The sequence below is a fragment of the Homo sapiens genome, chromosome 8, assembly GCF_000001405.40.
Source record: "Homo sapiens chromosome 8, GRCh38.p14 Primary Assembly".
In the NCBI taxonomy this organism is placed as follows: domain Eukaryota; kingdom Metazoa; phylum Chordata; class Mammalia; order Primates; family Hominidae; genus Homo; species Homo sapiens.
In genome coordinates this window covers 52,293,728-52,307,803 of record NC_000008.11, presented here as the reverse complement: position 1 = coordinate 52,307,803, position 14,076 = coordinate 52,293,728, and the positions used below count along the sequence as shown (strand labels likewise).

The following is a 14,076-nucleotide window of genomic DNA, read 5'->3' as shown; positions in this document are numbered from 1 at the left end:
AAGAGTTTCAGCAACAAGGGGTTGCTTAGGCTACTGTAATAACTAAGAAAATACAGACACATGTACACAGCATTAAAAACTGCATGTCTGGGTATTACATCCTCATGTACACATTCATACATAAGAAATAAAAGGGCTATGTCAAAATCTTGACAGGGATTATTTGGTTGCTAAGATAAGAGATGATTTTTCTTACTTTTTCTAAATTTTCACAATTGTCTGCTTATTGCTTTTATAAATCAGAAAAAGTATAGTCATTTAAAGTTATGCAGTGGGTGAGGAAAAATCTAAAAAATAAAAATCTGGAATTCTAATAGTTAATACTCTTATGATATATAATGTGTATATGACTTCCTGAGTTCCCTAGTAACTAAAGATTATTGTTTAACGTGGACTTTGACAGAATACCCAAAAGTATGATGAAGATAATAGAACTCTTCTAACCATTAAAAAGACCGAGTTTTGTTCACTGTCTTCCCCTCTGGATCTTATTCGCATTACCACATTTTGGAGCTTGGAATTTGGGCTAATTCAAAGAACTTTAGGGAGTCATTTTATGGGTACTGGTAATTTCATATAATTTTTGCTCTAGAATTGCCTCTGGTATATTTTCTTCTTAAGTCAAGTTCACATCTTGATTTTTTTTTTCTAGAGGCAGGATCCCACTATGCCGCCCAGGTTGGTCTCGAACTTCTGGACTCAAGTGATCTTCCTGCCTTGACCTCCCAAGTAGCTGGGGTTACAGGCGTGAGCCCAAATGAATTTTTAATTTTTTTATTCTATAGACAAAACCTCAGTTTGAAAGTTGTACCTGAGAACATTCAGACCCTAGTTTATATTTCAAATAAAAGTTGGGCTATTAAATATGTTAAATCTAATGTCTAAATGTGTTACCTATTTATAAACCTGATAATATAATATATTAGGTTGGTGCAAAAGTTACTGTGGTTCTTGCCATTTAATGGGACTTTCCCATCAAAGTTTGGGAAATAGATTTGATTTCTATTTCTTTCTTTCATCTATATTATATCAATAAACCAGGTAAGTCCAAGATCCTCAGGGCCCCTGGTTTCCACTTGCACCACCACTGACCTATTTCAGGCCTTTGCTTCTTTCCTGGGCCACCACATTCCAGCAAGTGTCCTGACTCTTTTTCTGCTATTATACTTTGTTCTTCAAATTGTTACCAGATTAATTCACCTACTATACAGCCCATTATATTTTCTAAAAATCTTTCATGGATTTCCCTTTTGACCTCACACACCAGACTTACTATGTACCCCTTGCCTTGGTACACAATGCCCTTCACAATATTTGTTTTCATGTATTTATTTCTTCATGTATTTGTTTTTTTCAACAAACTCACCGCACGTCTTCTCTATGCCAGCCCTGTTCTGTTCTACTTATCAAGGAACACAATAGACAAACATCCCTGCCCTTAAGGATTCTGCATTGCAGCAAGAGGGGCCAGAAAATCAGTGTAATCAGTGTAATAAACAAGGGAATTGTTGAGCATGCCAGAATGTGATCATTCTAGGGAGGATCCTCAGCTCAGGGTAAAGAGGCACCAAATTAGCCTTTTAGTTAAGATGGCCAGAGCTGGCATCACTGAAAATATGACATTTGAGTAAAGATTTGAAGGAGGTGAGGGAATGAGCAACACGGATGTGGGGAAGAGCATTTTAGCCTAGGGAACAGTCAGCCATGCTGCATGATGTGGAGTGTGGCTGTGTGGCCAGGCCAATGTGGCCGAGTGGGGAGGTATAGGGGAGGACGTCAGGCCACAGAGAGCCACTGGGTCTGCAGCCTCAAGGCCATTGGAAGGATGAGGACTTCCCTCTGAGAGACACAGGGAGGCCCTGAAGGATTTGCAAGGTGCTTTATCTGACAAACACTTTAAAAAGAGCATTCTGGCTTAGTTGAGAGGACATAGTGAAGAGGCAATGGTGCAAGCCAGGAGTCCTGTTAGGAGACACTTGCAGTCATCCAGGCAGCAGATTGAGTGCTTGCACCATGGTGGTAGATGGGCATCCTGGAGGTGGTGAGAAATGGTCTTATCTGGAGATATTGTGAAGGAAGAGCCCAGAGGATTTGCTGATACACCGGATGCGGTGAGTGAAAGACAGAGGTCAGGGAGGCTTCTAGGTTGTCACACTCAGCATCTGGATGGATGGATTGGCATTAGCTGAGATGGGGAAGACTGGACAGCTGTGGTGAAAGAGAAGGTAAGACGTTTTCATGTGAAATTTTTATTTCACATCCTAGAGAAGATGCAAGTAGGCTGTTTAATAGACAAGTGAGTTCAGAAAAGAGGTCCAAGCAGGAGCTACAACTTTGAGAGCTGTAAGCTCAGGAATTGTCTTTAATGCCCTGGGACTGAATGACAGCAAGACAGGAATGAGGGTAAGGAGAAGATCAAGGAGGCTGACAGCTTAGTACTCATGCACTGCACAGACACAAGTGAGACCAAGGAGTGAGAATCAGGCATGGCCACTGAGTTGGGAAGAAAAGCAAAGTTTTCTAGGAAGCCCAAGTGAAAGGCTTTTTCCAAAGGAGGGCATGACCTACTCTATTAAATGCTTCCATTTACTGTGGTATAAACCATTTTCTATCCATATCATATAGACATTACCTGAACTATTTTATTCTTATGCTACATTGGACTAAGGACTGTCCATGAGCCAGACCCTAGAATTTCCTACTACTACTTAAGCTATTATTTATGTTTAAATGATCTTTCAACATTTCAGCACAATGTACTTCCTACATTTTAAATTACATGGATTACCTAAATTTTATAGTCATTAAAGAAAAAAGAGCAAATAGAATTAAAGCATGCTATAGACTGAATGTTTGTGTCCCTCCCAAAATTCATATGTTGAAATCCTAACCCCCAAGGTGATGGAACCCTTATGAATGGGATTAGTGCTCTTGTAAGAGAGACCCAGAGAGCTCTCTTGCCCCTTCCTCCATGTGAGAACACAGCAAGAAGATGGACGTCTAGGAACCAGGGAGTAGGCCCTTCCCAGACGTTGGCTATTCCAGGAGCTTGATCTTGAACTTTACCGTCTTCAGAACTGTGAAAAACAAATTTCTGTTGTCTAAACTACCCAGTTTATGGTAATTTGTAATAGCAGCCCAAGTGGACTAAAACAAAGAGCAAAAAGAAAATCATCCTAAATCCAACAATATGGAAATCATTGTTCATTTAACTTGTTTGTAAGTTTTGATATGATAAACATCATTTTAATGAGCTTCTTTTATGTATGTATCTTTCTTAAGTTATATAAGATAATTTCCTTCCAGTAAGTTTTTAGAATTAATATTTCTGGATCCAAAGGATTTTTAAAAATTCCATCTAACTGCTTAAATTAATATAATCTACACTTTAATTCTCTGATATTGTTTCTCTCTTTACTTTTAACCTTATCAGTACAGATAGGATGGTGTGCGGGTGCACATGTGTGTGTGTGTATGTACTCACACACTGATCTTTTTCAGATTTACTCTATTAAGAAATACTTCCAGTATTTCTACTAGAAGTAAATTCCATATAATTGGAATTTTATATGATAACTTTATTTTAAACATACAGATTGTTCCTATCTAAGAATATAGTCTCTTTCTTCATTTAACTAAGTTTATTTTATATCCTGCAGTTATTTTAATCTTCATTTCTTTTTATGCTATAAATAGTTGTTATTGAGAAGTAGTTTTAGGCTTACAGAAGACATGCATGAATAGTAAAGTGTGCTTTTTCCAAAACTATTTTAGAGTAAGTTGCCAACATGATGCCCCACCACCCCAAATACTTTAGTAATTCCTACAAGCAAGGACGTAATCACAATATAGTAAATTACCATGAAAATCAGGAAATTAACTCCTTGGATTTCCACCATGCAATCCAGAGACCCCATTCAAGTCCTGCCAATTGTACCAATAATGTCTACAAGAAAACGATTCAATCCAGGACAAAGCACTGCATTTAGTGTCTTATTTTTTCATACTCTTTCAATCTAGAATAATTCCTAAGTTTTTCCTTAGCTTGCACGACTTTGATGCTTTTGAACACTATGGATCATTTCATAGAATGTCTGTCCATATGAATTTGAGTTTCTTCATGTTTGCATTGTTTGTGTATCTTTGGCAGGAACATCACAGAAGTGATGTTACCTCCTCTTCATTGAGGCTTATCAAATGTTGTGTAAGTTGTATTGGTCCCATTACTTATGTCCACTGTGATCTCTTGATTAAGGTGTGTTGCCGCTGAATCGCATGCCCCCAAAAGATACATTGAAGTCTTAACCCTGATACCTGTGAGTGTGGTCACACGCACATACCTTTGGAAATAAAGTCTTTGCAGATGTAATCCAGTTAAGATAAGGTCATGCTGGATTAGAGTGATCTTAAATCCAATAACTGGTGTTCTTTCAAGAAAAGAGAGACATGAAAACACAAACATAAAGGGACGAAGGCAACATAACAAAGGAGGCAAAGACTGGAGGGATGCATCTGCAAGGGAGGGGACCCCAAGGACTGCCCATGGCCACTGGAGGCAAGAAATGGCAAGGCAGTGTCCTTCCCCAAGCCTTCAGAGGGTGCATGGTCCTGCTGACACCTTGACTTCACACTTCTGGCCTCCAGGGCTGTGAGAGAATAAATCTGTGTCATTTTAAGCCACCAATTTTGTGGTAATCTGTTATGGCACCCTTCAGAAACTAACACAAGGCAGTATCTGCCAGGTTTCCCTACAATAACGTTACTCTTTTTTTCCTTTTTAATAAATAAGGATTCTTTTTTTGGAATGGGAGGTCCTTTGAGACTAGGTAAGAAAGTTTCCTATGAACCTTCACCCATTAGCTTTTAGCATCCATCGATGCTTCTTGGCTTATTTAATTATTACTATTATGATTGACAAATGGTGATGTTTCTAATGACTTCCTTCTATGTATTTTTTGGTATTCTACTCTAAGGAAGGGGTTGTTTTGCTCTAGTATTTAAAATATATTTTTATATCTGTATAGATTTATTATTCAAGGGGTTATAAGTTCCTATCATTATTTATGTTGATGCTCAAATTGCCCCAGATCTGGCCAACAGGAGAACTCTGTCAAGCTGGCTTCGTGTCCTTTTGATATATTCCCATAATTTTTTCACACTACAAAATGTTCAGGTCCACTTTGTACTGTTCTGCCCTTGCCTCATCCTTGGATTCAGCCATTTCTCTGAGGAGTCCAGTTCCCTGCTAGTGGAGAACAGTACTTAGCAACCAAGACCTGGTGCTTGGTGTGCCCACTGCTGTGGAGGTGTGGCTGCGGACAGACTCTCTCATTGAACAGAGTTAGGGAATAGATTTCTATATAAACAAATAAACATACACACATAAATACAGGCATGCATGTACCATTGAAATCTATATTTATTTCTACATCTATCAATTTATATACTTATTGAAAACCATGTACTTATTGAAAACCATGATTCTATACCTCCAATTCCAGTCCAGCACCTGAAGGTTTAGTTTAATTTTCTCCCTTTCCACATTTGTAGCATTCCTCTCTGATACTGGGAGACGTGGCTTTGAATGTCCCCAACATATTTTCTTACTCATTTATCATCCTTATATTTGACCAGTCTCTGCCACTGCGTCCACTCTCCACCCCATCGCTCCCAAACCTCTCCTGCACCCATGTGGATGCCTTCCTCCAAAACAGACAGGCTGCCACTCTCACCCTGCATAGATGCCCTCTGCAGGCTCGGAGTCCCGCAGCCCCTCTGAGGGAAGCCATCTTCACTCTGCTCTGGCTCTGACATCGCATGCCAGTCTTCCTGTACTCTGTGGACACTGTCCTCACCTGGCCTGCACTCGTGTAGCCTTGTCAGGGAGTGCCCACGCCACCTCCTTACTTGGATGCCTTCCTCAGCTCCCTTGACTCTGACATCTAGTACCATCCTGGAAGGAAGGAAAGAAATGAGGAAAAAAAGGAGGAAGGATGAAAGGCATAATATGTTTCATCATTTTTCAATTGCTTTTCTTAGATTTTTACAAGCAGATCATAATATCTGCAAATAATGATGGATTTTCTACTGACTTTCTAGTATTTCATAGAATTACACTTTCAGGGAAATGTTGAATAATGTGACAATAATTTATCTTTTCTTACTTAATTGGAAATGTTTCCAGTGTTTCAATTTGTGTAAATGTGGGCAGTTGTTTTAAGATACACTTTTTTATATATCATATTAGAAATAAATATCGATTCTTGTTTTACTGAGTTTTTATCAAGAATGTTGAATTTTATCAAATACATTTTTGACATATATTGAGATGATAGTTTGCTTTTCCTCTGTGACTTAGTAACACAACCAGTGCATTAATAAATATCTTAATACTGAATCATTCTTACACTTTTAGAGAAGATAGTACTTGTTTATAGCACATCATTCTTTAACTATATGGCTAGATTTAATTTGACTATTTTTTGGTAATTTGGTATCACTTATGCTATCTTTTTTATATTTTGTTATCAAGATTATACAATTTTAGGAAAATAAATTGAAAAGATTGTTTTTCTAATTTTTTCCTCAAAGGAGTTAAATAGGAATTATTTGATTTGAAGAAACCTGCTCGTAATAGCATTAACATATATGGCCATTTTGAAGGGAAGGAAGTATATCTCTGTGACAACTTTAAACATTTCTTCCATTATTAGAAATCTATTCAGACATTCTACCTTTTCCTGATGACATTTTGGTAATGTCATCATTCCTAGAAAATAATTTGTTTCATTGATATTTACAAATTTACTTTCAAAGAAAGTTGTAATGTTTAAAATCTCTTCTGTATTTGTGGTTATATTCCATTTTAAAATGTGTATTGTGAGTCTCTACTTTCTCTTTCTCTTTCTGTCTCTCACATCTCATTCTGACAGTTCTGCTAGAGGTTTGTTTTTTACCAGGAGTTAGCATGCTTTTCTGTAAAGGGCCAGGAGTAAATATTAGGCTCTGTGGGCCATACGGTCATCATCAGAACTATTCAACTCTGCTCTTCTAGCATGAAAGCAGCCAGTGACAGGACGTAAATGAATGAGTATGGCTGGGTTCCTATAGAATTTATTTTGAACACTGAAATGTAAATTTCATATAATTTTCATGTGTCATGAAATATTATTCTCCATTTCCCCCCAACTATTAAAAAATGTAAAAACCATTTTAAATCGAGGGTCATACAAAAACAGGTGGAGGGCAGGATTGGGCCCATAATTCTGTCTGCCAACTCCTAGTCTATGTCATAGATTTGGGCAAAAAGCAAAAACGAAAACACAGAGTGAACCGCTTAAATATGTTTGTCATAGCTACATATAATTCTCTGTTCTCTAAGTTACTTACCATATTAAGAATTTAGTCATCCTTTAATCTACTTTTATTAAAATTTGTTTTCTAAAATCTTCTTGAACTTAATGCTTGGTTCTTCTTTTATTCTGTTCCATGAGTGTTCGAGTATTCAAGAATCTGTATAGCAATATAACACGCAGCCATCTCCTGACTACCTGGCTTAATAAGTAAGATGTTACAAACAGAGAAAAGCAATTCCGTGTTTGGCAGCATGGTGGAAGAACCAACTTACATACCCTCTCAATGGAAACATTTTAGTAATCAAAAAAGCTGGATTATTTGTGTTTTGAAATATACCACTGAGCTAAATAAGCAGAAGGAATCAACGGAAGGCTGAAAACCATTTACAATCAGGGACCTCAACGAATTTATCAAAAAGTGTCAAAGCAACTTGTGCCCTAAGAGTGTTATCTGCCAACGCTGTGGTCTAGAGCTTCTGTTTTGATGCCACAAGAGGCACAGGAAGGAAGAAATCCATCGTGGGCTCCCCAGAGCAGAGCCAGGACCCAGGGGCTACACCTCAGGAGAGGTAACACACCTTAAAATAGCACGACTTGAACTGAGCTCTGTGGCAGAAAAGTAAACTTCCATGAGTGTTTGTAACCCAGAGGTGAAGCTTACACCCACTTTTGGCCTGAGTTCATACCACTTATGCGGTTGAAAAGCTGAAATTGAGAATTTAATTTAAAGTGGTCTCAGGTTGATACTACTTTCAGGTGATTGACAGAAGAGCAAACAAAAACTGGCTCCAAAACAATGCCACTTCATGTAGGCCTGAAAAACTTTCTGCAAGACACATGGACTTATATTTTAAAACCTCCAAAGGAAATAAGAGAAATAACAGAGCAAAGCACAGGCTGCACATGTTTGAGAGAGGGTAATTATCCAATTTAGAGTAGAAAATAAGTAGGTTTAATATGTTTTAAGATAAAAAGAGAGACTTGAAAATACAAAACTAGAGACTGATATTTTAAAATTGACTTTGAAGATTTGAAAAAGAACACAATGAAACAACTAGTAATAAAAATGTGATTGAAAGTTTTTCAAGATTACAGGAGAACAAACTAGACAAAATTAAAGAGAGAATTGAATTCATGAATGGAAGGTAGACTAAAAACATTACCTAAAATGCTACCCAGAGAGAAACAAAGAAATAAGAACTATGAAAGAGTAGCTAAGAGATCAAATGGCTGAGAAGTTTACACATGTACACATATGTGTGTATAAATATGTGTGTGTGCGTGTGTATGATTTTATATATATGTATATAAATCTGAGCCCTAGAGGGAAAAAAATAGATGAGTGAGCATGAGGCAATATTCCAAAATATAATCACTGGGAATTTTACTGAATTGTTGAAAGATACCAAGGCCCAAATCCAGGAAACCCAACAATTCCAAAGCCAATTAAAATACAAAGAAATCTACACGCAGTAATACAAATTCAGACCAAAGAGAATGACTAGTTAGAAAAGAGAGATCACTTACAAAGACACAGAAATTAGACTGACAGCTGAATTTCTAGCAGTAACAATGGATGCCAGAGAGGGGAGATTATCTTCATTGTGCCAAGAGAAAAACCCAGCAAAACAGTATTTCAAGATTGAAGAGGAAATAAGACAATTATTAGTTCTCTATTTCAGGTAGAAATAGTATGTTGAATGGAAAGTATGAAATGCAAAAAGGAATATGTGTAAAAGTAGTGGTAAATCTATTGATATAATTTCATATAGTTTCGTGGCTCCATGCAGTTGAATGCTAAGCTGAAATCTCCATCTTCAAAGGAAAGTTTCTCACTCTTTTTTAAATTTTAAAATAATTGTAATACATGCTTCTCACACATGGTTTGGAAAAAGGAAAAGTAGAAAAATAAATGTGAGGTATCTGTAATTTATCAATTGTTAATATTTTGATATATAACTTTTAGTCACATCTATTTATGCCTTTTACTTAATTAGGTTGATGCTAATTGTCTGATCCAACATTTTGTTTTGAATCATGACCATAAAATGAGGCTTTTTCCATGTCATCAAATATTCTTCAGAAACATCCCTTTATAGTGCTACTTAATATTCCATGCTTTGAATGTGTCATAATGTAGCTGAAACCAGCTAGATGCCCACCAATCCCAGTTCCTCTTCCTGCGCACACAGATTGTTTCTCTCAGCCTTTCTGGCATTAATTTTGAGCCAATAACTGCACTCTGGCCAGTGAAATATGTGCAGCACTGAAATGTACCATTTCCAGGGTAGGCCCTAAAATGCCTCATAGGGTCCCCCTCTAGCTGAAGGCCGGGGACCAGTGGAGGACTCTGATGAAGCTCTCATGGCCAGCCCTGCATCAGGGTCTGAAATTCCACCTGGAAGTGTCAGTTTAGAAGTAGAGAGCTGGGCCCAAAGGGTGCAAGAATGAGGTTATAGAAGATAACATAAAGGGAATGTCACTGGGGAAAACAACGAGAATTAAAATGTTTTCTTTTGTCAATCAATTTCAGGTGAGAAACCCCAGTTTTAGACAACTTCTGTGAACAGCTCTCATTTACTCATAGTTGTGGTAATGATCACTTTTTTTCCTGGGCATGCATAGTAGACATTTAGAAAAAGTGTCCATTTGGCTTTCTTCGTATGTGACTTGTCGTTTCCCATTCTTTGCCATTTGACTGATTAATTTAAAATATGTTTTTTAATCTGGGAATTAGTTATACATTACATGTTTGTTACAATTATTTCTTATTTCTACTTTATTAATAGCTTTTATAATTTATGATGTTTTGATGTAGGTGCCTTTAACTTTTCAAATCTTATAAAGTCAAACCTATTGTTTTTGTTGTTTTTAATTTCTTCCATTGATTTTACCTTAGTCCTGCCAGAGCAAACATACTATTTTTTCTAGGCTGGCTTTAAGCTCAACATTAAATTTTTATTTTTTAATTTGTCTGGAATTTATTGTGTTATATTTACAAGTTAGGAATTAACATGTAAATTATTGTTTAAAAATTATTTTAAAAAAAGATTGTACCATATATTCTGCGCTTATTGAGCAAGTACTCTGTGCTTTACATGCACTGCTTCTTCCTTGCAGGAATCCAGTGAAGTGATGCAACTATTAGCACCCCGTTTTAGAGATGAGGAAAGGGGGCTGTGGCACTGTCACACACTTCACGTACAATGACAGGGCCTGGAAGCTGGGGAGCTGGGCTCTGAGCCTGTGTGCGGACTGCACCCCCCACAGCCTGCGCTGCACTGCACTGTCAGCATGCAGGGCTGCGGCTGGTCCCTGTGGAATCAAGGTGAAGCTTTCTGCACTACACACAGATTCTTATATGAGTTGGGGTCTGTTCACGGGCTATCAGTTCTGTCCCATTTATTTCTGGGACTCATGCATTATTATCTCATTATTAAGTACTAGTAATTCTTATAAAAACCATATTAGGCCAGATATGGTGGCCTAATATGGTTTTTTAATTATACCTTATTGATATTTTCTTTAGGAATTCATACTTAGAAAATGTATAATCTTGATTCTATTTGTTTAGTACTTAATTGCACACTTGTCTTAGTTCCTGTACTAGACTGCAACCTTTTTAAAGCATGCGAGATTTATCTGTAGCACCAGGCACTGTGATTTCTCATGGTTATTTAATAAATCATTGTCTGATTAATTATTTTAAAAGGAAATATACTGATTCTATTTAGCTTAACAAACATAGTATTATATTGCCTACTGTGTGCCAGACTTTATTCCAGTGCACACAGTAACTTGGAAAGGTAGAATCAATTACTGCCCCATTCTAGAGATAAGGAAGCTGAGTTACAGTAAGTGAGTAAGTAAGCAAGCTGAGTTACTTACATTACCACCAGTAAGTGACGGTCAGAACTCGAACCTGGGCTTCCTGGTGTGCATGCTCGACGTTCACTGTGCTGTGTGCCTCTCTGCTGATGGGAGCATTAGGTGGTTAAAGATGGGTGGCTTTTGACATTCCTGCAGAGGACAGGGGAGTTCCCCCCGTCTAGGAGGGCCGGTAAAATACAGGTAGGCTGTAAAAGCACTTTGGGCCAAAGAACCAGCTTCCCTAATGTGGGAAAAGCAGAAACATGCCATTTGTGGAAATCAGCCAGACGTCAATAAAAGGTGTCTGTTCAGAAATCAAACAACCGTAGGGGAAAATATGTTACCAAGAAGTCATTGTTATTTTTAAAAATAATTTTTGATCACTAGTTTTTCTTTATCAAATCTAAGCAATTGAAAATTCTCCTTCCCCCCAGCATTGCACTATTTCTTTTTTTATATGCATGATGTTAAAACAAAATGACGCCAAGCAGCTGCCGAACTTGCCTGTTAAGTTTGGCTTGCATTTTCCAGGCAGGGGTTGTGTTAAGTTGGGGAAATTATGTTGTCCCATTTTTTTTTTCCAGCAAGACATTGTGGTAGATTATCTGGCTGCCACCACTCATCCCATGCAGCTGCTCCCCTGTTCTGTTTGTCCTAAGCTCCCTCGAACTCTGCGGAAGTCAGATGGGACGCAGAACATACTGGGAGGCAGGCTGGCTTAACAATAATAAGAAGGCAGATTGAGCGTGCAGGGAAGAGGCAGGCAGAACTGGCGCTGCAAGTCCAGTTTCAACAAACTATTTTCTATCTGATATGCTAACACATTGTTGGAGCTTGTCTCCCTTAATTCAAAAAAAAAAAAAAAAAAGGAAAAAAAGAGAAGCTCTTTCATTTGCGCCTCAAAATTGTCCCGAAACCCCTTTACTTTTCAGTGTTTGACCTTACTAAAGAGGTACTAAAACCACTCCATTTTTAAAAGGGGGAAGTCAGAGATATGTCAGAGAGAGAGAAAATGAAATTTTGCATCAGGCAAAATTTCTGTACTGATATTTCAAAAGGCTTCATAATTCTGTGGCTGTATACAAATGATCCATTTTGTTAATCTGAATTTCGAAGGTCATTAAAATTTTTTTCTCTGCTCTGGAGTAGTTTATTACTTAGAGAGAGAGGGAAAAAAAGCCAGTTTAAAACCAGGTAAGGGAAGAAACCTGATAAAAACATAAATTAGAGGAAGAACTTAATTTAAAAAGTGTCAAAAAGGATAGATAGTCTTAGTTCAATAATAAAGCCTGGTTCAAGAGCCTTCTATCTTTAAATAAAGCGTTCAAGCACTCTATTACCTGTATACAACCAATCTTTGATTTCCAATCTAAGTCTATTTTTGCTTCTCGTGATTAGCATACAAATGTGAAAAAAAGAAAAAAGTGGTTACACGTGTGACGATTAGGACATGCCTTTGCTTTAATGTCACTGGTTTGTCAGGCTAGAGGTGATGAAATGAATTGCTGCCTGGCAGGCTCCTTAGAGGTAAATCTTGTCTGAAAATGACTCCTATCCATCTCCTTTTATTTTCATTCTAAGTTCATCTTACAAACGGCAAGCATGTAAGCATATATTTGTTTTAAGAGATAAAGCACAGTAGCATATAACAACTTACAAATATATGTGAGAAGGTGATAAGCATGGCTCCTGCAGCAATACCGTCCCCTCCACAGAGTAGCCATGAGTCCAGAGATTTAGCCTAAATGTGGGGGCTCTACCCTGCCAAGAATCACATGTTCCATATAAGAAGTGAGAGGACGAAGTATAGAGACAAATTTTATGGTGCTCCTGACTCAGTGCCCAGCAAGACCTGAGACTGCAGGAATCTGCTTTGGTTTTCTCTCTGGGCATACATTGAAAAGCACCACCTGTCTTATTGGCTTTTGTATGAGCAAGGTGTAAGCCTGCCAAGGCTAAAATGCAAAACTCTCTAATAATATCGTCAGGGAGGGACAGATGCCAGATCCCTGCCTACCAGTTTCCTCCGAGCCTTCTCCAGAGTCTTCTCCGAAGCCTTGGTCCCTGGTCAGGAGGGGCCCTGACTTGCTGGGGGTGTCCTAGAACAGGAAGTTCCTGGGGGCCTTGGTCCCTATGGGAGGGGCCTCACAGTGAGGGAGGGGAACCCACAGCATCCTGCTGACTGATGGCCCTATTTACATTCAAGGCAGTTATTATGCATGAAACCACTCAAGCATCATTTGTTTCAGGGAGTTCAACCAGTCAATTTTTCAGTTCCTTTCTGGTTCAGGGTCAGAAGCAAATGACGGATCTCAGGTTGGCTTCATTTTGGGCCAGTGATACTTCCCATCTTATTCAGGGCAAATTTGTTTAAAGACTCTTCCACTTATGATATGTGGAAGTGTCCTTTCCTTGTGCCTCACAGAGGCCCTGGGGAAGCTCTGGTTAGGCTGGAGCCCCATTAGCACTGCACTGAAATTCACCTAAACAGATAAACTGTGCCCTGGACTCACTGGTCGCTTTAAGTCATACACCTGTGAGCCTTGTGCAGTGAGGAGGGTGTGTGCAAAAGCATATGGAAAAGCGGGCTATGGGCCACTGCGTGAAACCCTGAGTCAGCTGTGAAAATCACTTGAATCTGAACTTAAATGAAATCATCTTTCTCCACTTTGAGATGAGGCTTCAGATTCAATTCTAGGACAAGAAATTATTGATATAATCTTGGAGCTCCACTCAGAAGTTTACTAACATTGGTGTAGTGTGTTACAGTTCAAAAATGATATATTATTTATAAATATATCCTATTTAGTCTGCATGATAATCATAGGAGGAAAGCATTATCCCCATTTAC

General features: G+C 38.2%; 1 protein-coding gene across 25 annotated transcripts in view, besides 3 other annotated features; it reads left to right on the top strand.

Moving 5' to 3' along the window:
* The window catches only part of ST18 (ST18 C2H2C-type zinc finger transcription factor), a 299,042-nt gene that overhangs the window by 102,076 nt on the left and 182,890 nt on the right, over positions 1–14,076 (top strand). The window lies entirely within an intron of this gene.
* Positions 12,593–12,762: an enhancer, noted in NCBI's record as "experimental_103338 CRE fragment used in MPRA reporter constructs". NCBI's record gives its function as "activates a minimal promoter by MPRAs in K562 erythroleukemia cells, with activity observed for the introgressed 8:53207687 or rs17315309 variant allele {active_cell/tissue: K562}" and the evidence as "EXISTENCE:reporter gene assay evidence [ECO:0000049][PMID:34662402]".
* Position 12,677: a transcriptional cis regulatory region, noted in NCBI's record as "Neanderthal adaptively introgressed variant 8:53207687 (GRCh37/hg19 assembly coordinates) or rs17315309 in the experimental_103338 CRE". NCBI's record gives its function as "modulates activity of the experimental_103338 enhancer by MPRAs in K562 erythroleukemia cells {active_cell/tissue: K562}" and the evidence as "EXISTENCE:reporter gene assay evidence [ECO:0000049][PMID:34662402]".
* Positions 13,071–13,400: an enhancer, noted in NCBI's record as "active region_27344". NCBI's record gives its function as "activates an Ori minimal core promoter by ATAC-STARR-seq in GM12878 lymphoblastoid cells {active_cell/tissue: GM12878}" and the evidence as "EXISTENCE:reporter gene assay evidence [ECO:0000049][PMID:35858748]".